The 20,870-nt window shown below is 45.1% G+C and overlaps 1 protein-coding gene and 1 pseudogene across 3 annotated transcripts, besides 1 other annotated feature; one reads left to right on the top strand and one right to left on the bottom strand.

Annotated features, from left to right (window-relative positions):
• Positions 6,380-7,592, top strand: ZCRB1P1 (ZCRB1 pseudogene 1; annotated as a pseudogene).
• On the bottom strand, positions 17,005-20,626 carry ITGB1BP2 (integrin subunit beta 1 binding protein 2). 3 transcript variants are annotated; one of them, NM_012278.4, is made up of 11 exons: positions 20,506-20,626; positions 20,190-20,239; positions 20,043-20,099; positions 19,820-19,965; positions 19,020-19,114; positions 18,860-18,915; positions 18,679-18,749; positions 18,465-18,564; positions 18,076-18,189; positions 17,772-17,834; positions 17,005-17,411 (listed from the first exon to the last, which is right to left on the bottom strand). In NM_012278.4, the coding sequence occupies exons 1-11, from the start codon at positions 20,567-20,569 to the stop codon at positions 17,184-17,186; spliced, it is 1,044 nt and encodes a 347-aa protein (NP_036410.1). In that variant the 5' UTR covers positions 20,570-20,626; the 3' UTR covers positions 17,005-17,183. The 3 variants fall into 3 exon arrangements, with proteins under 3 accessions (NP_036410.1, XP_047297944.1, NP_001290206.1); XM_047441988.1 differs by lacking the exons at positions 19,820-19,965; positions 20,043-20,099; NM_001303277.3 differs by lacking the exons at positions 19,820-19,965; positions 20,043-20,099; positions 20,190-20,239.
• Positions 17,629-18,828: an enhancer, noted in NCBI's record as "BRD4-independent group 4 enhancer chrX:70523398-70524597 (GRCh37/hg19 assembly coordinates)". NCBI's record gives its function as "activates an origin of replication core promoter dependent on BRD2, P300/CBP, MED14 and CDK7 cofactors, and independent of BRD4, by STARR-seq in HCT116 cells {active_cell/tissue: HCT116}" and the evidence as "EXISTENCE:reporter gene assay evidence [ECO:0000049][PMID:35650434]".

The raw sequence follows: 20,870 nt of genomic DNA, 5'->3' as shown, positions 1-20,870 counted from the left end.
TGCCTAGGTAATCCACCTCTCAATTCATCCAGATGAAGTAATTATCTCCCAGTTGTAGTAGTTTTCTCTCCTACACTCCATGAACTGCCACTCCAATGTTACTGTCTCTGAGACCTCTGCCTCCATTATCCTCTTTCTTCCTTTCTGCTCCCAAAGTCCCAGAAACTGCTAGAGGGAGAACGAAGTAGACAAATATAAATTCATGCTGTCCAATTTCAACTTGGCCCTTGCAGCTGCTCAGCAACCCTTTTATTTGTCTCATACATTCCCTGGCACTCTCCCACAGAGGCTGTTCCAGACCTTCCTCTTTCTCTTCAAACTACAAATTCCAGTCTCCCTCCTTCTACTTCTAAAAACTTCATATTAGACAGTTTCATTACATTAACTATCCCTCCTGCAACAAATCAGTATCTTTCTCCCTCCCAGCTCAATCCTCTAGACATCCAGTTCCATTCCTGGGAAAGCAATAAATGTTATTTATCTCTTATTTATCTTTCCAGAGATATTTTATGACTCTATAAGCAAAAATATGGAAAAGAAGGAATTTGCACTGCCTGTTAAAGATAAGTAGGATTGGGCGGGTGTGGTGGCTCAAACCTGTAATTCCAGCACTTTGGGAAGCCAAGGTGGGAGGATCACTTGAGCTCAGGAGTTCAAGATAAGCCTGGACAACATGGCAAGACCACGTCTCTATAAAAATTAAAAATTAGGCCGGGCGTGGTGGCTCACATCTGTAATCCCAGCACTTTTGGAGGCCCAGGCAGGTGGATCGCGAGGTCAGGAGATTGAGACATCCTGGCTAACATGGTGAAACTCTGTCTCTACTAAAAATACAAAAAAATTAGTCGGGCGTGGTGGCGGGCGCCTGTAGTCCCAGCTACTGGGGAGGCTGAGGCAGGAGAATTGCTTGAACCCGGGAGGCAGAGCTTCCAGTGAGCTGAGATCGTGCCACTGCACTCCAGCCTGGGTGACAGAGCAAGATTCCGCCTCAAAAAAAAAAAAAAAAAAAATTAAAAATTAGCCAGGCCTGGTGGCACAAGCCTGTGGTCCCAGCTACTTGGGAGGCTGAGCTGAGAGGATCACTTGAGTCCAGGAGGTCGAGGTTGCAGTGAGCCATGATCCTACCATTACCCTCCAGCTTGGGCAACAGAGGAAGATCCTATCTCAAAAAAAAATTACAAAAATAAATTTTACAACAGATAAGTAGGATTTGGAGGCCAGGTGGAGTGGCTCTAGCCTGTAATCCCAGCACTTTGGGAGGCTAAGATGGGAGAATCGCTTGAGTCTAGGAGTTTGAGACCAGCGTGGACAACATAGTAAGACCTTGTCTCTACAAAAAATTTAAAAATTAGTTGGGCATGGTGGTGCATGCCTGTAGTACCAGGTACCCAAGAGGCTGAGATGGGAGGATCACTTGAGCCCAGGAGGTTGAGGCTGTGGTGAGCCATGGTCACGCCACTGCACTCCAGCCTGGATGACAGAGCAGACTCTCTGTCTCAAAAAAAAAAAAAAAAAAAAAAAAGCCGGGCACGGTGGCTCACGCCTGTAATTCCAACACTTTGGGAGGCCGAGGTGGGTGGATCACTTGAGGTCAGGAGTTCGAGACCAGCCTGGCCAACATGGTGAAACCCCATCTCTACTAAAAAGACAAAAAATTAGCTGGGCGTGGTGGCACACACCTGTAATCTCAGTTACTCGGGAGGCTGAGACAGAGAATCACTTGAATGCAGGAGGTGGAGGTTGCAGTGAGCTGAGATTGCGCCACTATACTCCAGCCTGGGCGACAGAGCTAGACTCTGTCTCCAAAAAAAAAAAAAAAAAAGAAGATAAGTAGGATTTGGATAGGTGAAGAGAAAGGAGATGATATTCCAACCAGGACAAACATCCTGGACAAAGGCACAGAGGTGGGAATTAATAAGATATATTTAGAAAACAGGGTATAGTTTAGAGTAATCCCCTGAGAAATAATCCCAGCTGCTTCCTCAACTGCTACTTCTCCTTTTCCAGTTCTGTCTTTAGCCCAATTGCTTCCCTGCCTGACATGTTCTACATACCAGCTGAGTAGAAATATGACACTACATGGCCCCTCACCCATCCTATCTTGCCTGGACCTTTGTTACTATTTATTAAGCTTTCACGCCAACCATGTGTTTCAGTCTTATTAAAGAGGTCCCAGCTCCTTCCTAAGTCACTTTCCAAGCCAGACATCTTCCATTTCCTTGGTCACCATTAAAAACAGGACAATGAGGCCAGAAGCAGTAGGTCATGCCTGTAATCTCATCACTTTGAGGGCTTGAGGTGGGGGATCACACGGTCAGGAGTTTGAGACCAGTCTGGCCAACATGGTGAAACCCAGTATCTACTAAAAATGCAAAAATTAGCCGGGCGTGGTAGTGGGCACCTGTAATCCCAGCTACTCGGGAGGCTGAGGCAGGAGAATCGTTTGAAAAGGGAAGGCGGAGGTTGTAGTGAGCTGAGATTTTTCTACCACACTCCAGCCTGGGCAACAAGAGCGAAACTCCATCTCAAAAAAAAAAAAAACAAAAAAACCTGGGACAATTAATATAAAAGACGCAATGTAGGCCAGGCACGGTGGCTTACGCCAATAATCCCAACACTTTGGGAGGCCGAGGCGGGCGGATCACTTGAGGTCAGGAGTTTGAGACAAGCCTGGCCAACATGGTGAAACCCCGTCTCTACTAAAAATACAAAAATTAGCCGGGTGTGGTGGCGGGCGCCTGCAGTCCCAGCTACTTGGGAGGCTGAGGCAGGAGAATCGCTTGAACCTGGGAGGCAGAGGTTGCAGTTAGCCGAGATTGTGCCACTCTACTCCAGGCTCTGTCTCAAAAAAAAAAAAAAAAAAAAAAGATGTTATTGATTTTTTTTTTTTTTTTTTGAGAGGGAGTCTTACTCTACGGCCCAGGCTGGAGTGCAGCTCACTGCAACCTCTGCCTTCCAGGTTCAAGTGATTCTCCTGCCTCAGCCTCCCGAGTAGCTGGGACTATAGGTGCCCGCCACCACGCCCGGCTAATTTTTGTATTTTTTTGTAGAGATGGGGTTTCACCATATTGGCCAGGCTGGTATGGAACTCCTGATGTTGTGATCCGCCCGCCTCAGCCTCCCAAAGTGCTGGGATTACAGGTGTGAGCCACCGCGTCCAGCCAAGATGTTATTGATTTTATATCAATATATACAACATACAGGTCAAGGAAACAAATTATGTGACAAAATTGCAATCAGCAAAACCCAGATTGTGTGAAACTCTACTGAAAAATAATCCAATTCCTTCAATGAAAACATTGCAAGGAAAAAATGAGATAAAGATAACCTTTAATTTTTAATTTTAATTTTTATTTTTTTTCAGAGGGAGATCTCACTCTGTCACCCAGGCTGGAGTGCAGTGGTATGATATCGGCTCACTGCAACCTCCCCCCATGCCCCCCCACCCTGGGTTCAAGCGATTCTCCTGCCTCAGGCTCCCAAGTAGCTGGAACTACAGGCGCCCACCACCACACCCAGCTAATTTTTGTGATTTTAGTGGAGACAGTGTTTCACCATGTTGGTTGGGCTGGTCTTGAACTCCTGACCTCAAGTGATCTGCCCGCCTGGGCCTCCCAAAGTGCTGGGATTACAGACCTGAGCCACTGCGCCCAGCCCCAGTATATGTCACTTTTAAATTAAGGGTTCCTGTGCTGGGCATGGTGGCTCACACCTGTAATCCCAGCACTTTGGGAGGCCAAGGTGGGCGGATCACTTGAGGTCATGAGTTTGAGACCAGCCTGACTAACATGGTGAATCCCCGTCTCTACTAAAAATACAAAAATTGGGCATGCTGGCTTATGCCAGTAATCCCAGCACTTTTGGAGGCCGAGGCAGGCAGATCATTTGAGGTCAGGAGTTCAAGACCAGCCTGGCCAACATGATGAAACCCCGTCTTTCTAAAAATACAAAAATTAGCTGGGCGTGGTGGCACCCGTCTATAATCCCAGCTACTCAGGAGGCTGAGGCAGGCGAATTGCTTGAACCCGGGAGGCGAAGGTTGCAGTGAGATGAGATTCTGCCACTGTACTCCAGACTGGGCGACAGAGCGATACTCAGTGTCAAAAAAAAAAAAATTAGCTGGATGTGGGGGTGTGCACCTGTAGTCCCAGCTACTTGGGAGGCTGAGGCACGAGAATCACTTGAACACGGGAGGTGGAGGTTGCAGTAAGCAGAGACCATGCTAGTGCACTCCAGCCTGGGTGACAGAGTGAGGCTCTGTATAAAAAAAAAAAAAAAGAAAAAAAATGCTGGGCGTGGTGGCTCACGTGAGGTCATGAGTTTGAGACCAGCCTGGCCAACATGGTGAAACCTCGTCTCTACTAAAAATACAAAAGTTAGCTGGGCATGCTGACGGGCGCCTGTAATCCCAGCTACTTGGGAGGCTGAGGCAGGAGAATCGCTTGACCCCAGGAGGCGGCAGTTGCAGTAAGCCGAGATTGTGCCACTGCACTCCAGTCTGGGAGACAAGAGCGAAACTCTGTCTAAATATATATATATATATACACACACACACTCACACACACACATATATATACATACACACACATATATATACACATACACATATATATACACATATAGAGAGAGAGAGAGAATGGGCGTGGTGGCTCATGCCTGTAATCCCAGCACTTTGAGAGGCCGAGGCGGGTGGATCACCTGAGGTCAGGAGTTCGAGACCAGCCTAGCCAACGTGGTGAAACTCCGTCTCTACTAAAAATACAAAAAGTAGCTGGGCGTGGTGGTGGGCACCTGTAATCCCAGCTACTTGGGAGGCTGAGGCAGGAGAATGGCTTGAACCCGGGAGGTGGAGGTTGCAGTGAGCTCCAGCCTGGGTGATACAGTGGGACTCCGTCTCAAAAAAAAAAAAAAATATATATATATATATATATATATATATAAAAATACTTGGTATTTGATGATATGAAGGTATCTTCTTGGTATCTGATATGAAGGAATTATTGTTTATGTGTGCTAATATGATTTTTTAAAAAATAATTCTTACTTTTTAGAGATATATACTGAAATACTTTCATTATACTAGTCTGTCTACTTTTATACATGTTATAAATTCTTTATTAAAAAGTTTTAAAACAATGTTATTGAATTCTCAAGCATCTGATGAAAGTGCACAGATTAGTCTGAAGGAGTGGAACAGGAGGAGTTGGAATTTAAGAAGAGGAAGGTCTGGAACAGCCTCTGTGGGAGAGTGCCAGGGAATGTATGAGACAAATAAAAGGGTTGCTGAGCAGCTGCAAGGGCCAAGTTGAAATTGGACAGCATGAATTTATATTTGTCTACTTCGTTCTCCCTCTAGCAGTTTCTGGGACTTTGGGAGCAGAAAGGAAGAAAGAGGATAATGGAGGCAGAGGTCTCAGAGACAGTAACATTGGAGTGGCAGTTCATGGAGTGTAGGAGAGAAAACTACTATAACTGGGAGATAATTACTTCATCTGGATGAATTGAGAGGTAGAGTACCTAGGCATCTCAGTGAGGTTAGAGAGCAGGTGATCAGAGATGTAAAAGTTATTTGGAAAAGCCTTACATCAATGTAAGATATCACTGATCAACCAAGAGCCTCCCTGTTCCCCAGTTAGTCTTGTCAAAGGGACTCTGCTAGGCTAGAGGGTCATCATATCAAGATCCTCTTCCAAGATCCCTTTTAGGTTTTTAGGTTGTAGATGTTTTCAAATGACTCTAGGACAGCTCTTCAGTAGCTGTATGATCCCAGGCAAGCTATTTTCTATTTTGTTCCCTAGTTTCCTCATCTATAAGAAGTTGTGATAATAATACCTACCTCACAGAGCAAGTGTGAGGATTAAATAAAATAATGTGGGTAGAAGTGCCTAGCACAGTGGCATTCTATACAAAATACTGTACTCCCTCATCAGGTGAATACAGTCTCCCTTAATCCTGAAGCTGATGCAATTGTGTGGTAAATATGCTATCACTTTATAGAGGTGTAAAACCTGTCACGAAAATCCTATTTTCTTAATGAAACATTATAAAATTGGATATTGGAGATGTGTCCGCACCCCTTCCATAAAAAAATCATCTAACTTTCCTAACATGCTGAGGTAAAAAACTTCCAGTGAAGAAAAAGAATAGTAGCAGCAGTAATAATAATAGCAAACACATGCTTACTGGATTTGAGCCTCAGTGGAATGATATGGCCTAGAGATTAAAATGTGAGTCATCTGCATGGGGGTGATATTTGAAGTCATGTACATAACTGAGGGTGTCTGGAAGAGTTATATGAGAAGAGTGCAATCCTAGGACTGAGTCCTAAGGAACTGAATCACTGAATGGCCAGGAAGAAAAGGAGGAGTGTAAAAATGAGTCCCAGGACTCGTGATGCCAAGGCCGCTGCGAGCAGCTATGAAGAGTCGGGGTTGAGCCCCAGCTGAGCCGAGGGCTCGCACTCTTCTGGTCTCCCAGGACCGTCACACCTGAAGAAATGAGTGGTGGATTGGCTCCAAGTAAGAGCACAGTGTATGTATCCAGCTTGCCCTTTTCCCTGACAATGACTTGTACCGGATATTTTCCAACTATGGCAAAGTTGTAAAGGTTACCATAATGAAAGATAAAGATATCAGGAAGAGTAAAGGGGTTGCATTTATTGTATTTTTGGATAAAGACTGAACAAAACTGTACCAGGGCAATAAACAACAAACAGTTATTTGGTAGAGTGATAAAAGCAAGCATTGGCTGGGTGCGGTGGCTCAGGCCTGTAATCCCAGCACTTTGGGAGGCCGAGGCGGACGGATCACTTGAGCCCAGGAGTTCAAGACCAGCCTGGCCAACATGATGAGACTCCATCTCTACTAAAAATACAAAAACTAGTTGGGTGTGGTGGCACGCCTGTAATCCCAGCTACTAGGGAGGTGAGACAGGAGAATCACTTGAACCTGGAAGGCAGAGGTTGCAGTGAGCGGAGATCATGCCACTGCACTCCAGCCTGGGCGACAGAGCAAGACTCCGTCTCAAAAAAAACAAAACAAAACAAAACAAAAAACAAAAAAAGAGGAAGCATTGCTATTGACAATGGAAGAGCAGCTGTGTTCATCTGAAGGCGAAACTACTTTGATAAATCCAAGTGTTATGAATGTGGGGAAAATGGACACTTAAGTTATGCCTGTCCGAAAAATATGCTTGGAGAACGTGAGCCTCCAAAGAAGAAAGAAAAAAAGAAAAAAAAAGAAAGCTCCTGAACCAGAAGAAATTGAGGAAGTAGTAGAAAGTGAAGATGAAGGGGAGAATCCTGCTCTTGACAGCCTCAGTCAGGCCATAGCATTCCAGCAAGCCAAAATTGAAGAACAAAAAAAATGGAAACCCAGTTCAGGAGGCCCCTCAACATCAGGTGAGTCAAGACCCCCAAGGATAAAGAACAGCACATATTTCCGTGATGAGGAAGAACTTAGTGATTAAAATCTTGCCCTAGCACAGTAATAAAAATCAAGATTTGTTAGTAACAATCTTGACGATCTAATTTTAATAAAAATAAGAATACTATCATGTTAATACTATTACTGTCATCCCAAGAAAAATGATATATTTTCTCTTTTTTTTTTTTTGAGATGGAGTCTCACTCTGTCCCCCAGGCTGGAGTACAGTGGTGTGACCCCGGCTCACTGCAGCCTCTGCCTCCTCCCAGGTTCCAGGGATTCTCCTGCCTCAGCCTCCCAGGTAGCTGGGACTACAGGCACATGCCACTACACCCGGCAAATTTTTGTATTTTTAGTAGAGACAGGCTTTCACCATGTTGACCAGGCTGGTCTTGGAACTCCTGACTTCAGGTGATCTGCCTGCCTCAGCCTCCCAAAGTGCTAGGATTACAGGCGTGAGCCATCGTGCCTGGCTGAAAAAAGATATTTTAAAATTTTATTTGAGGCCGGGAGCAGTGGCTCACGCCCATAATCCCAGCACTTTGGAAGGCCGAGGTGGGCAGATCACGAGGTCAGGAGTTCGAGACCAGCCTGGCCAACATAGTGAAACACCGTCTCTACTAAAAATACAAAAAATTGGCTGGGAGCGGTGGCTCATGCCTGTAATCCCAGCACTTTTGGAGGCCGAGGCAGGCAGATCACGAGGTCAGGAGATCGAGACCATCCTGGCCAACACGGTGAAACCATGTTTCTACTAAAAATAGAAAAAAATTAGCCGGGCATGGTGGCAGGCGCCTATAGTCCCAGCTACTCGGGAGGCTGAGGCAGGAGAATGGCGTGAACCCGGGAGGCGGAGCTTGCAGTGAGCTGAGATCACGCCACTGCACTCCAGCCTGGGCGACAGAGTGAGACTCCGCCTCAAAAAAAACAACAACAACAACAACAAAAACACAAACTTCCTGAAGACCGAAAAGTTGAATGATTTATTGTTATTTATGTTAATACACTTTTCATGAAAATTTTGTCTTTAAATATGGGTGTTTTGTCATATTTCTTGTAGCTTTATCCCAATCTGGATAAATTGTAAATACCTATAAAATAAATTGTAAATACCTAATAAAATATAAAGTAACATAGCTCTAAAAGGCTTAAAATCAAACACAGGTGTTATTTGTCTGCCCTACCCATAGCACCAAATTCCATTCCCTAGAAGAAACTACTCATATGTGCATGCATGTCGCTAAATAAAATACATATATTTCTGTCACTTAATAAAAGAATAAAGGGGATTATTCAATCTCTTATACTTCTCCTACCTTCCTCAATCTTCCCAATGTGGCTGTGTTAAAAATTTTGGGTCCCAGCACTTTGTGAGGCCGAGGTGGGTGGATCACCTGAGGTCAGGAGTTCGAGACCAGCCTGACCAACATGGTGAAACCTGGTATCTACTAAAAAATACAAAAATTAGCAGGGCATGGTGGCAGGCACCTGTAATCCCAGCTACTTGGGAGGCTGAGGCAAGAGAATCGCTTGAACCTGGGAGGCGGACATTGCAGTGAGCCGAGATCGCACCATTGCACTCCAGCCTGGGCGACAGAGCAAGACTCTGTCTCAAAGAAAAAAAAAAAATTATGGCCGGGAACGGTGGCTCACGCTGTAATCCCAGCACTTTGGGAAGCGAAGGCGGGTGGATCATGAGATAAGGAGATCGAGACCATCCTGGCTAACAGGGTGAAACCCCGTCTCTACTAAAAACACAAAAACAAAATTAGCCAGGTGTGGTGGCAGGCGCCTGTAGTCCCAGCTACTCGGGAGGCTGAGGTGGGAGAATGGCCTGAACCCGGAAGGTGGAGCTTGCAGTGAGCCAAGATCGCGCCACTTCACTCCAGCCTGGGGGACAGAGCAAGACTCCTTCTCAAAAAAATAAAAAAATAAAAATAAATAAATAAATAAATAATTGGGGGAAAATGCATATGTATTTTTTTTAATGACCATGTAAATACTTTTCACTTCTGAGCTGAGGAGTATGCTATGATTATATTTTTTCTAGAGTTAATAATTGTCTATTTTTTTCCATGTATCTTCTTTGTATTTATGACTAAATCTTCCCATTCTGTCTGCAGGTAGTTATATGGGAATGGGATTAGAGAATCTTTTTCTTTTTTTTTCTTTTTTTGAGACGGAGTCTCGCTCTGTCGCCGAGGCTGGAGTGCAGTGGCGCAATCTCGGCTCACTGCAAGCTCCGCCTCCCAGGCTCCCGCCATTCTCATGCCTCAGGCTCCCGAATAGCTGGGACTACAGGCACCCACCACCACACCCGGCTAATTTTTTGTATTTTTAGTAGAGACGGGGTTTCACCGTGTTAGCCAGGATGGTCTCAATCTCCTGACCTCGTGATCCGCCCGCCTCCGCCTCCCAAAGTGCTGGGATTACAGGCATGAGCCACCGCGCCCGGCCGAGAGTCTTTAATTTTCTACTTTGTATATTTCTATATTAACTTTGAAAGAACACCCATTTATTACCTTTTAACTAGTAAAAGCAATAAAAATAAGAAAAGTTAATACTATCATAGTAATACTATTGTTGTCATTCCAAGAAAAAAATATATTAAAAATATTTATTTGAAAAAATAAATAAATAAAAATAAAAATGAGATTGAAAGGAATGGCCAGAGAAGTAAGACAAAGAAGAGGCATGATGGGTCACAGAAGTCAATGTATCGAAGTATTTCAAGGAGTATTTCTTGTCATATTTTGCTTGACAGGTCAAGTGAGATGAGGACTAAAAGTATCCATTGGATTTAGTGATTTGATAGTCATTGGTGACCTTATCACCACAAACTGAGGAAGTCAGATTAGAGTGTGTTATATTAATAAGGGAGTAAGAAGAAGGAAATGGAAAAAGAATAGTTATGTCAAGAAGTTTGGCTACAACAGATAGAAGGGTGTTAGGTGGTAGCTAGAGAGGGATGTGAACTCAAGGGAAATTATTTTTGTAAGACTGGAGAAACTAGAGCATATTTAAATGTCAATAAAAACATGTCAATGAGGCCAGATGCAGTGGCTCACGCCTGTAATCCCAGCACTTTGGGCGGGTGGATCACCTGAGGTCAGGAGTTCAAGAACAGCCTGGCCAACGTGGTGAAACCTCGTCTCTACTAAAAATACAAAAATTAGCTGGGTATGGTGGCGGGCACCTGTAATCCCAGCTACTCGGGAGGCTGAGGCAGGAGAATCGCTTGAACCCAGGAGGTGGAGGTTGCAGTGAGCCAAGATCCTGCCATTGCACTCCAGCCTGGGCAACAAGAGAAAAACTCCGTCTCAAAAAAAAAAAAAAAAAAAAAAAACTCAATGAGCGGGAATTGTTGAATAAACAGGAGAGAGAAGGGATAATTAATAGTGGAAGGTTTCTGGGAAGGTGTGAGGGGATAGCATACAGTAGGAAGAAATGAGAAGTATAAAAGGAGGTAGGGAGAGGATTTGTTCTAATGTGAGCAAATATGTAGATTTGATGGTGGGAAATGGGGGATTAAATGAGATAATGCATGCAAAGCACTTAGCATAGTGCCTGGCACAGTTAGTTTGTATCAGAAATGGTAACTATGGCTATTGTTGTTTTTCATGTCATACACCTGCTTGAAAATTTCTCACCTTTTAGGCTTTGTCCATGTGAAATGAGCTAGTACCCTACTTTATTAATGCTATAAATTTCAATTTTTATTTTTTTGAGACAGAGTCTAGCTCTGTTGCCCAGGCTGGAGTGCAGTGGCATGATCTTGGCTCACTGCAACCTCCACTTCCCGGTTTCAGGTGATTCTCCTGCCTCAGCCTCCTGAGTAGCTGGGATTACAGGTGCCCACCATTATGCCCGGCTAAATTTTGTATTTTTACTAGAGGAGAGGTTTCACCACGTTGGCCAGGCTGGTCTCGAACTCCTGGCCTCAAGTGATCTGCCCACCTTGGCCTCCCAAAGTGCTGGGATTACAGGTGAGAGCCACCGCACTTGACTTTCAAATTTTCTATATTGAATTTATATACAACGAGGGTTACTTGAACTTTTGTTTTGTTTTGTTTTATTTTTATTTTTATTTTTGGAGACGGAGTCTCACTCTGTCGCCCAGGCTGGAGTGCAGTGGCATGATCTCGGCTCACTGCAAGCTCCGCCTCCCAGGTTCACGCCATTCTCCTGCCTCAGCCTCCCCGAGTAGCTGGGACTACAGGTACCCACCACCACGCCCAACTAATTTTTGTTTTTGTATTTTTAGTAGAGATGGGGTTTCACCGTGTTAGCCAGGATGGTCACGATTTCCTGACCTCGTGATCCACCTGCCTCAGCCTCCCAAAGTGCTGGGATTATAGGCGTGAGTCACCACACCTGGCCGAGGGTTACTTGAACTTTTGATTCCTCACCTCTGTTCTCTTCAGAACTTCTGGATATTTGCTGGTTCCCTGATTTTGATAAGAAGAAAAAAGTTGTACATTTAAGATTAATGGGCTGGGTGCAGTGGGTCACACATGTAACCCCAGCACTTTGGGAGGCCAAGGCAGGCGAATTACTTGAGGTCAGGAGTTCAAGACCAGTCTGGCCAACATGGTGAAACTTCATCTCTACTAAAAATACAAAAATTAGCCGGTCGTTGTTGCGTGTGTCTGTAACCCAGCACTTTGGGATGCTGAGGCGGGCAGATCGCTTGAGTCCAGGAGTTCAAGACCAGTCTGGCCAACATGGCAAAACCCCATCTCTACAAAAAATACAAAAATTAGGCAGTTGTGGTGGCGTGTGCCTGTGGTCCCAGCTACTCGGGAGGCTGAGGTGAGAGGATCACTTGAGTCTGGGAGATGAATGTTGCAGTGAGCCAAGATGGCACCACTGCACTCCAGACTGGATGATAGAGCAAGACACCATTTCAACAACAACAACAAAAAAAAAAAAAAAAAAAAAAAGAGAGAGAGAGATCACTCCTCACTCCTCCCTCCTCCTCTGATTAAGAATCTACATTTGAGGCTGGGTGCTGTGGCTCACACTTGTAATCCCAGCACTTTAGGGGGCCAAGGCGGGTGGATCACAAGGTCAGGAGTTCAAGAGCAGTCCGGCCAAGCTGGTGAAACCCCGTCTCTACTAAAAATACAAAAAATTACTCGGGTTTGGTGGCGGGTGCCTGTAATCCCAGCTACTCGGGAGACTGAGGTAGGAGAATCACTTGAACCCGGGAGGCAGAGGTTGCGGTGAGCTGAGATTGCACCATTGCACTCCAGCCTGGGCAACAAGAGTGAAACTCCGTCTCATAGATAGATAGATAGTTAGATAGATAGATAAATAGATAGATAGATAGATAGATAGATAGATAGATAGATAGATAGAATCTACATTTGGCCGGGTGCAATGGCTCACACCTGTAATCCCAACACTTTGGGAGGCTGAGCTGGGAGGATTGCTTGAGGCCAGAAGTTTGAGACCAGCCTGGGAAACAGCAAAATCCGGCCTCTACTAAAAATACAAAAAATTAGCCAGGCATGGTGGCGCACGCCTGTAGTCCCAGCTTCTCAGGAGGCTGAGGTGGGAGGATTGCTTGAGCCGGGGAGGTCACAGCTGCAGTGAGCCATGATCATGCTACTGCACTCCAGCCTGGGTGACAGAGTAAAACTCTGCTTCAAAAAAAAAAAAAAAAAAAAAGAATTGGCTGGGCATGGTGGCTCACACCTATAATCCCAACACTTTGGGAGACCGAGGTGGGCAGATCACTTGAGGCTAGGAGTTTGAGACTAGCCTGACCAACATGGCAAAACCCCGTCTCTACTAAAAATATAAAAATTAGCCGGGCATGGTGGTGCATGCCTGTAGTCCCAGCTAATCGTGAGGGTAAGGCAGAGAATCGCTTGAACCTGGGAGACAGAGGTTGCAGTGAGCCAAGACTGCGGCCGCTGTGTGCCTGGGAGACAGAGCGAGACCCTGTCTTTAAAAAAAAAACAAAAAAGAGAATCTACATTCTTTTTTTTTTTATTTAAAGGCCTATAATGCCCTTTTAACTCTCTTTTTAAATCATTTTCAAAATCCTTGACCTAGAATTTTAGGTTCCTGTTAATCTAGCCACACTCCATTTAACTTTTTCATCTTCTTTCTTCAACATAACCTCTGACATGTTACCACTGCTTACAAATAGAAAGAGGACTAAGCTTGGAGAGACTCTGAAGAGAAGCATTTACTTTTTACTCTACATACTTCTGCATTTAATTTTTTTACAGTGATAATGTACTACATTTGGAATTTAAAATGAAACACAATAAATAAATTAAAACAACTTTTGCCCTAGTATCACTCTCCCTAATCTTTCATACCCATCAAAATTAATTTCTCATTATTCAGATTTCCATTCAAATGTACAGGTGACACTTGAACAAGGGTTTTAACTGCATGGGTCCACTTATATGTGGATTTTCTTCTGCCTCTGCTACCCCTGAGATAGCAAGACCAACCCCTCATCTTCCTCCTCCTCCTCCTCAGCCTACTCAATATGAAGACAGTGATGAAGAACTTTATGATAATCCACTTCCGCTTAATGAATAATGCATATATTTTCCCTTCCTTATTTTATTTTATTTTATTTTTAGACAAGGTCTCACTCTGTTGCCTAGGCTGGAGTGCATTGCGACAATCATGGCTTACTGCAGCTTCGATCTCCTGGGCTCAGGTGATCCTCCCACCTTACCTTCCCAAGTAGCTGGGACTACAGGTGTGCGCTACTATGACTGGCTAATTTTTTTGTATGTTTTTGTAGAGAGGGGGTTTTGTCATGTTGTACAGGCTGGTCTTGAACTGGACACAAGTAATCTGCCCACCTCGGCCACCCAAAGTGCTAGGATTACACGCATGAGCCACCTCACCCAGCCCCTTATGATTTTCCTTTTTTTTTTTTTTTTTGAGACGCAGTCTTGTTCTGTCGCCCAGGCTGGAGTGCAGTGGCACAATCTCGGCTCACTGCAAGCTCCGCCTCCCGGGTTCACACCATTCTCCTGCCTCAGCCTCCCGAGTAGCTGGGACTACAGGCGCCTGCCACTACGCCCAGCTAATTTGTGTTTTTTTTGTATTTTTAGTAGAGACGGGGTTTCACCGTGTTAGCCAGGATGGTCTCGATCTCCTGACCTCGTGATCCGCCCGTCTTGGCCTCCCAAAGTGCTGGGATTACAGGCGTGAGCAACCATGCCCGGCCGATTTTCTTAATAACATTTTCTTTTCTCTAGCCTACTTTATTGTAAGAATGTAGTATATAATACATATAACATTCAACATATGTGTTAATTGACTCTATATGTTATCAGTAAGGCTTCTGGTCAACAGTAGGCTATTAGTAGTTAAGTTTTTGGGAAGTCAAAAGTTGACTATGGGTTGGGGGCAGTGGCTCACGCATGTAATCCCAACACTTTGGGAGACCAAGGTGGGCAGATCACGAGGTCAGGAGTTCAAGACCAACCTGGCCAACACAGTGAAACCCCGTCTCTACTAAAACTACAAAAATTAGCTGGGCGTGATGGCAGGCACCTGTAATCCCAGCTACTCAGAAGGCTGAGGCAGGAGAATCGCTTGAAACCGGGAGGCGGAGGTTGCAGTGAGCCGAGATTGCCCCACTGCACTCCAGCCTGGGCTACAGAGCTAGACTCTTGTCTCAAAAAAAAAAAAAAAAAAAAAAAAAAAGTCCACTATGTGGTAGCTGGGTGTGGTAGCTCACACCTGTAATCCCAGCACTTTGGCAGGCAGAAGTGGGAGGATCACTTGAGATCAGGAGTTTGAGACCAGCCTGGGAAACATAGTGGAATCCCGTCTCTACTAAAAATAAAAAAAATTAGCCAGGTGTGGTGGCGCATGCCTGTAATCCCAGCTACTTAGGAGGCTGAGGCATGAGAATCGCTGGAACTTAGGAGGTGGAGGTTTCAGTGAGCGAAGATCATGCCACTGCATTCCAGCCTGGGCAACAGAGTGAGACTCTGTCTCAATAAATAAATAAATAAATAAAAATTTTAAAAAAGAAGTCAAATGTGTGGGGAGTCAGTGCCCCAACCTTGCATTGTTCAAGGGTCAACTGGACTTCTTAACCTTCACATTTATGGTTAGTTAATTTTCAACTAGGGAACCAAGACAGTTCAATGGGAAAAAGAATAGTCTTTTCAACAAATGGTACTGAGACAACTGGACATCCACATGCAATAGCATAAGGTTGGACCCCTACTTCACATCACATACAAAAATTAATTGAAAATGAATCAATGACCTAAATGTAAGAGCTAAAAAACTATATCACTCTTTTTTTTTTGGAGATGGAGTTTTTGCTCTTGTTGCCCAGGCTGGAGTGCAGTGGCGCAATCTCGGCTCACTGCAATCTCCGCCTCCCAGGTTCAAGTGATTCTCCTGCCTCAGCCTCCTGAGTAGCTGGGATTACAGGCATGTGCCACAACACTCAACTAATTTTTTGTATTTTTAGTAGAGACGGGGTTTCATCATGTTGGCCAGGCTGGTCTCGAACTCCCTACCTCAGGTGATCCATGTGCCTCAGCCTCCTAAAGTGCAGGGATTACAGGCGTGAGCCACCGCGCCCAGCCCTGTATAACTCTTAGAAGAAAACATAGGGGCCGGGCGTGGTGGCTCACACCTGTAATCCCAACACTTTGGGAGGCCAAGACGGGCAGATCACGAGGTCAGGAGATCAAGACCATCCTGGTTAACACGCTGAAACCCGTCTCTACTAAAAATACAAAAAATTAGCCAGGCGAGGTGGCGGGCGCCTGTAGTCCCACCTACTCAAGAGACTGAGGCAGGAGAATGGCGTGAACCTCGGAGGTGGAGCTTGCAGTGAGCCAAGATTGCGCCACTGCACTCCAGCCTGCGCAACAGAGCAAGACTCCGTCTCAAAAAAAAAAGAAAAAAAAAAAAGAAGAAAAGGTAGGGACAAATGTTCATGACCTTGGATTAGGTAATGGTTTCTTAGATATGACATCAAAAGCATAAGCAACCAAAGAAAAAAATAAACTGTATTTCAAATTAGCTGGGCATGGTGGCAAGCGCCTGTAGTTTTAGCTACTCGGCAGGAGAATCGCTTGAACCCAGGAGGCAGAGGATGCAGTGAGCCGAGATCGCACCACTGCACTCCAGCCTGGGCGACAAAGCAAGACTCCGTCTAAAAAAAAAAAAAAAAAAAAAAAAAGGACTTCTTCCACCACGGAGTCTTCCCTTTTGCTACTGTCCACATTAACTTTTCCATTCTTTCAACTACAGCTCTTAAAAACTGTACTGCACAATTTGGCACTCAGTTAAACTACCTGATAATGTTTATTATTATTTCATGTAGATTGGTCTTGACTTGTCAGCCAGGTTGTTACTTTGTTGAGAGAAATGAGTAAGTCTTCTGTTTCTCAGATATTTCTAAACCACCTAACACATAACTGGGCACATAGGGAGTACTCAGTAAATACCTGGTGTTTATGAGGAATAGATTGAATGTGCATGTGCTTGTTTTCACAATGTGTGTTGAACACACAGTTGGGGGTAATAAATACAATCTTAGATAGTGAGGTGAGAGAATGACACTATGTGAAACTGAAGAATACAAGATTTATTTAAGGGAAAAAAACAGCATGGTTTGGACAATTTTGTTCTCCCCTCCTTCAGCCTCCTGCTGCTCAATGATGCCACATGGCCAACAATATCCTGGTATCTAAGATTCTAAGGGAATCATTGAGGTCCTATCTAGACATCAACTGTCTGGTGTCACTATTCCCCCATTGCTTCCTCCTCTTCCTCCTCCTCTGTCCAGCTCAGATCATCATCTGAATCGTCAGATTCTTCCTCATCCATCTCTAACACAACCCCTGCCCTAGCCTTCTTAGCTAGTGCATCAGGGTGCTCCAGCTGGGCCCAGGATCCTGGGTCAGCCTTGACCAGGGAGATTTCAACCCGAGATGGCATCAAGAAGACAGAGCTCTGCTCCACGTTTATGACCTGAGGAGGAGCAAAGGAAAACAGAAGAAAGAGAGAATGAGGAAATCAAAGGCATTGGGGTCAGGGTGGAGTGGTGACAAATGAGAGAGAGAAATTTTTAATAAGGTAAGAAAAAAGGTAAGGGAGGAATAAGACAATAAGGGAGAGAGAGGAAAGAAATGAGAGATGAAAAGGGAGAAGGAAGAGGGGAGGGAAAGAGGGAAATAGGAAGAGTAGGAGAGAGAGAGAAAATGAAAGCAAATGAAGAGAAAACCTCCATTTTCCTAGTACAACTCCTTCCCTCAAGACACCCTCTATTCCAGTCTAGCCGCTCTTTCACCCATCTGCCTCCCACTCTTGTGTCCCCTGGTCTTCACTTACCCCCCAGAGCTTCATCTGTGCTTGGAACACACGGTTACCATCAAAGACAATGTGGACATGAAGCTGAGAGAAAAGAATTACAGGGGTAGTAACAAACCCAGAAGGTCAGAATAGGTCATTACGACAGATAACCAGGTCAGAGGTATGATCCACAGGTTGGCCAGACAGCCCTGACCTAATAACTCTCCTTTCCTCTAAGGGTACTATGGAGCCTACAGGTTAACAGCAAATGGCAACTCTGCCTGTGAGATTGTAGTATCACCCAATTGACTATCCTCCCATCCAACATCAGATCATTGCTCACCTCAGTTTGACTGGCCTTCACCCAGTTAAACGCAGGAAGTGGAATCTGGCCATATACAGTCACCACTACTAAGGAATCTGTCTGGTGCCAATCATGGCGGCAAGATGCTGGGAGCTAAAGAGAAGATGTGAAATGCAGGTGGTAAGAATAAATTCTTAACTGAAGGGGAGTTCTCATGATGCACGTGGAGAAGAGACAGAGAGTCTCAAAAAGATTAACACAACCTCATATTGCAAAACCTCTGGGCTGTTGAGGGATAAGGAGCAGAATCTTATTTGGTCTATACTAAAGGGAGAAGACAGGGAGCTTGGCTATGTGGTACAGAGAGGGAGGAGAATTTACCTCTGAGATTGGGTTCTAATCAAGAGTTCAGGAAAGCTGGGGCTTACCTGCTTCCCCCAGTCATGTCTACCGACTCTGCACCCTGGTTGTGCCAAGAATGCCCCAAAATCCAGGGTCTGGATGCCACAACAGCTCCAAGACTTCATCCTGAAGTAGGAAGATAATTCAACTGAATTCTCTCACCCCCAATATTATCTTATGACCAAATATTAGGAGAAACCTGTCTCATAGCCTCATAGCCCACCCAGTCCCCTCCCTCACCCCTCATGGAATCGGGGTGCTCCTGGGTGGTAGGTACATGGAGTAGCATCACTCTCAGGGCCTTGGTAAACCTAAGAAGGATAAAGTAGAACCAGGTCATTCTAAGGTATATCCTACTCAGCCTATCTATACCCAGTCATCCCTCAGCCATATGCTTGAGCCCCTCAAAACTCTCACTCACAGCATCACATCCTGGGTTCTGGCAGCTGGAACCAGTCCGGATCAGACTGTCAAGTCCTGGGCAAGGGAAACAGAGTCAGGAACTTATCCATCCCCCCACTCAATTGCCACTTCCACTAAATTCCAGTCTATGAAGTTGATCCTACTAAAGACCCACCTACCTGCCCCAGGTTCCTGGTCTAATTCCTTCTGTTCCAATGCCATTTCCAGGGCTTGGGATATATTTAGCGGCAGCAGCTTCAGAGGCAACTCTGACCTAGGGGTTAAGGGTGGTGATTTAGTTCTGACCCATTAGCTATGATTGCTAGCTCCAACACTCCCACCGATGGTAATGGAATTAAAGAAGCCTGGTGAAAGTGAGGCAGAGTTGGAGAGGTTGGGTAGCAACCCCATTGCCAATTTTCATCTCTGTGGACATCCCAAATACCTGAACCCTAGAGAAATCCCCAGCACTTCTCTTACCCATCTACTCAGTTGCTCTAAACCTAACCACTTTTCTCTGCAGAACTGAGTCATATCCTCTTCCTCTTTATCTAATCGTGGACCTAATATGACTTCCTTCTGTTGCTCTTATTATTCCCACAAAATTTGGGAAGTCTCCTGGCTGCCAATAATACAATACATCCTTTTCTTGATATGAGATTTATCTTAAAGTTCTTTTCTAGAAAGAGAAGTCATTCTCAACAATCCCTTTTGTGTTATACACTAAGGATGTATTTGTGAGGGGCTATCTACTCTGTTGATTCAGGTATCTATCCCATCATCCCACACCACCTTAGAGGAAAGGGCGTTATTTCCAGACACAAATTTCCCCTAAGGCACAGGATATACACCATCCAAACCCTGACATCTGGCCCTCCTCACATCCCTGGTCCCTAGTTCCCAGTCCTCAATGACCCATTAATCACTCCTAGGAAGCTACATGAAAATAAGAAAAGTCCAGGGGCCTCCTCCTCTTTACTTGGGCCTCTCCCGGCGCAAGGTCTCTGCTGACTTTGGAATCACATTCAGAGGTTTTTGCTCCTGAAGTGAACTGCTTGTAGCAGGGCCTTCAGGTTGAGGGGCCTCAGGAAGCTTCTCAGCACAGTGTGGTCCCATAGTACAGCCCTAGTATAGATAAGGAGATAGGATTAGGGATAGAATCCTTCTATTGGGGGCAGAATCCAAGTACATAAATAATTTACCTTGATGTTTAAGAACTCAGAGAAATCTACAGTTCGCTTTCGGCAGCAGGACCAACCCTGATAACAAGAGACCCAGATCAGCTTAGCTTCCTGGGTATTATCTCTTCTGGGAAATGCTCTTGCTAACCCCCCTCACCTACTCCTCACCTTAAGTGCATCATGGAAGATTGGGACCCCAGGGTGATGGCAACAGGAATCTGTGGACATCAGTAGAAGTTATCAAGGAAGGGAAGATAACTATACCAAGTATCATTTTTCACCTCTTCCCCGGGTTTCTATTTATGGTTTCTTCCCATATAATGTGAAGAAAAAAAAAAAAGCCAGCAAAGGCTGTAAGATCACTCAGACCAATTAAACTAGGGCAGGTAGTTTCTTTCCCCGCTCCTCAAACACACTGCCCCCCAGCTGACCAGTCCCCAACACCCACACAGAGCCCCTGGCCAGGTCAGGATTCTTTACTCACCAGGAAGGTTGGTATTAGGGTCAAAGTGCTGCCCACAGCCTTTGTTACGACAGAGTAGAGACATGGAAGCGTTGGTTGAATGATTACTGAAAGGGTATTTCAAGGAGTCTGGCTGCCGAATGGGGAACACCTCTTAGTCTGGAGGCTTTTAGCTGCCTGGAAGGGCCAGCTGTTTCTATCTTTAGTTCAGGAGGCGTACACCTCCTAACATGGGCAAGGGAACTTCAATTCGTCTTTCCAGCCAATAGGAAAGAGCTCGGGGGCATTTTAGCTCTGAGGCTCAGGAAAAAAGGATCAGGCAGAGTAGGGCTTTGAACTTGGGTGAGGTCAGCTCACCACTACTGAGACAGTTTTAGATTCACCAC

This window comes from Homo sapiens, chromosome X (assembly GCF_000001405.40).
Source record: "Homo sapiens chromosome X, GRCh38.p14 Primary Assembly".
Taxonomy (NCBI): Eukaryota; Metazoa; Chordata; class Mammalia; order Primates; family Hominidae; genus Homo; species Homo sapiens.
The sequence above is the reverse complement of the archived record's forward strand: the minus strand, read 5'-3'. Positions and strand labels throughout refer to the sequence as shown.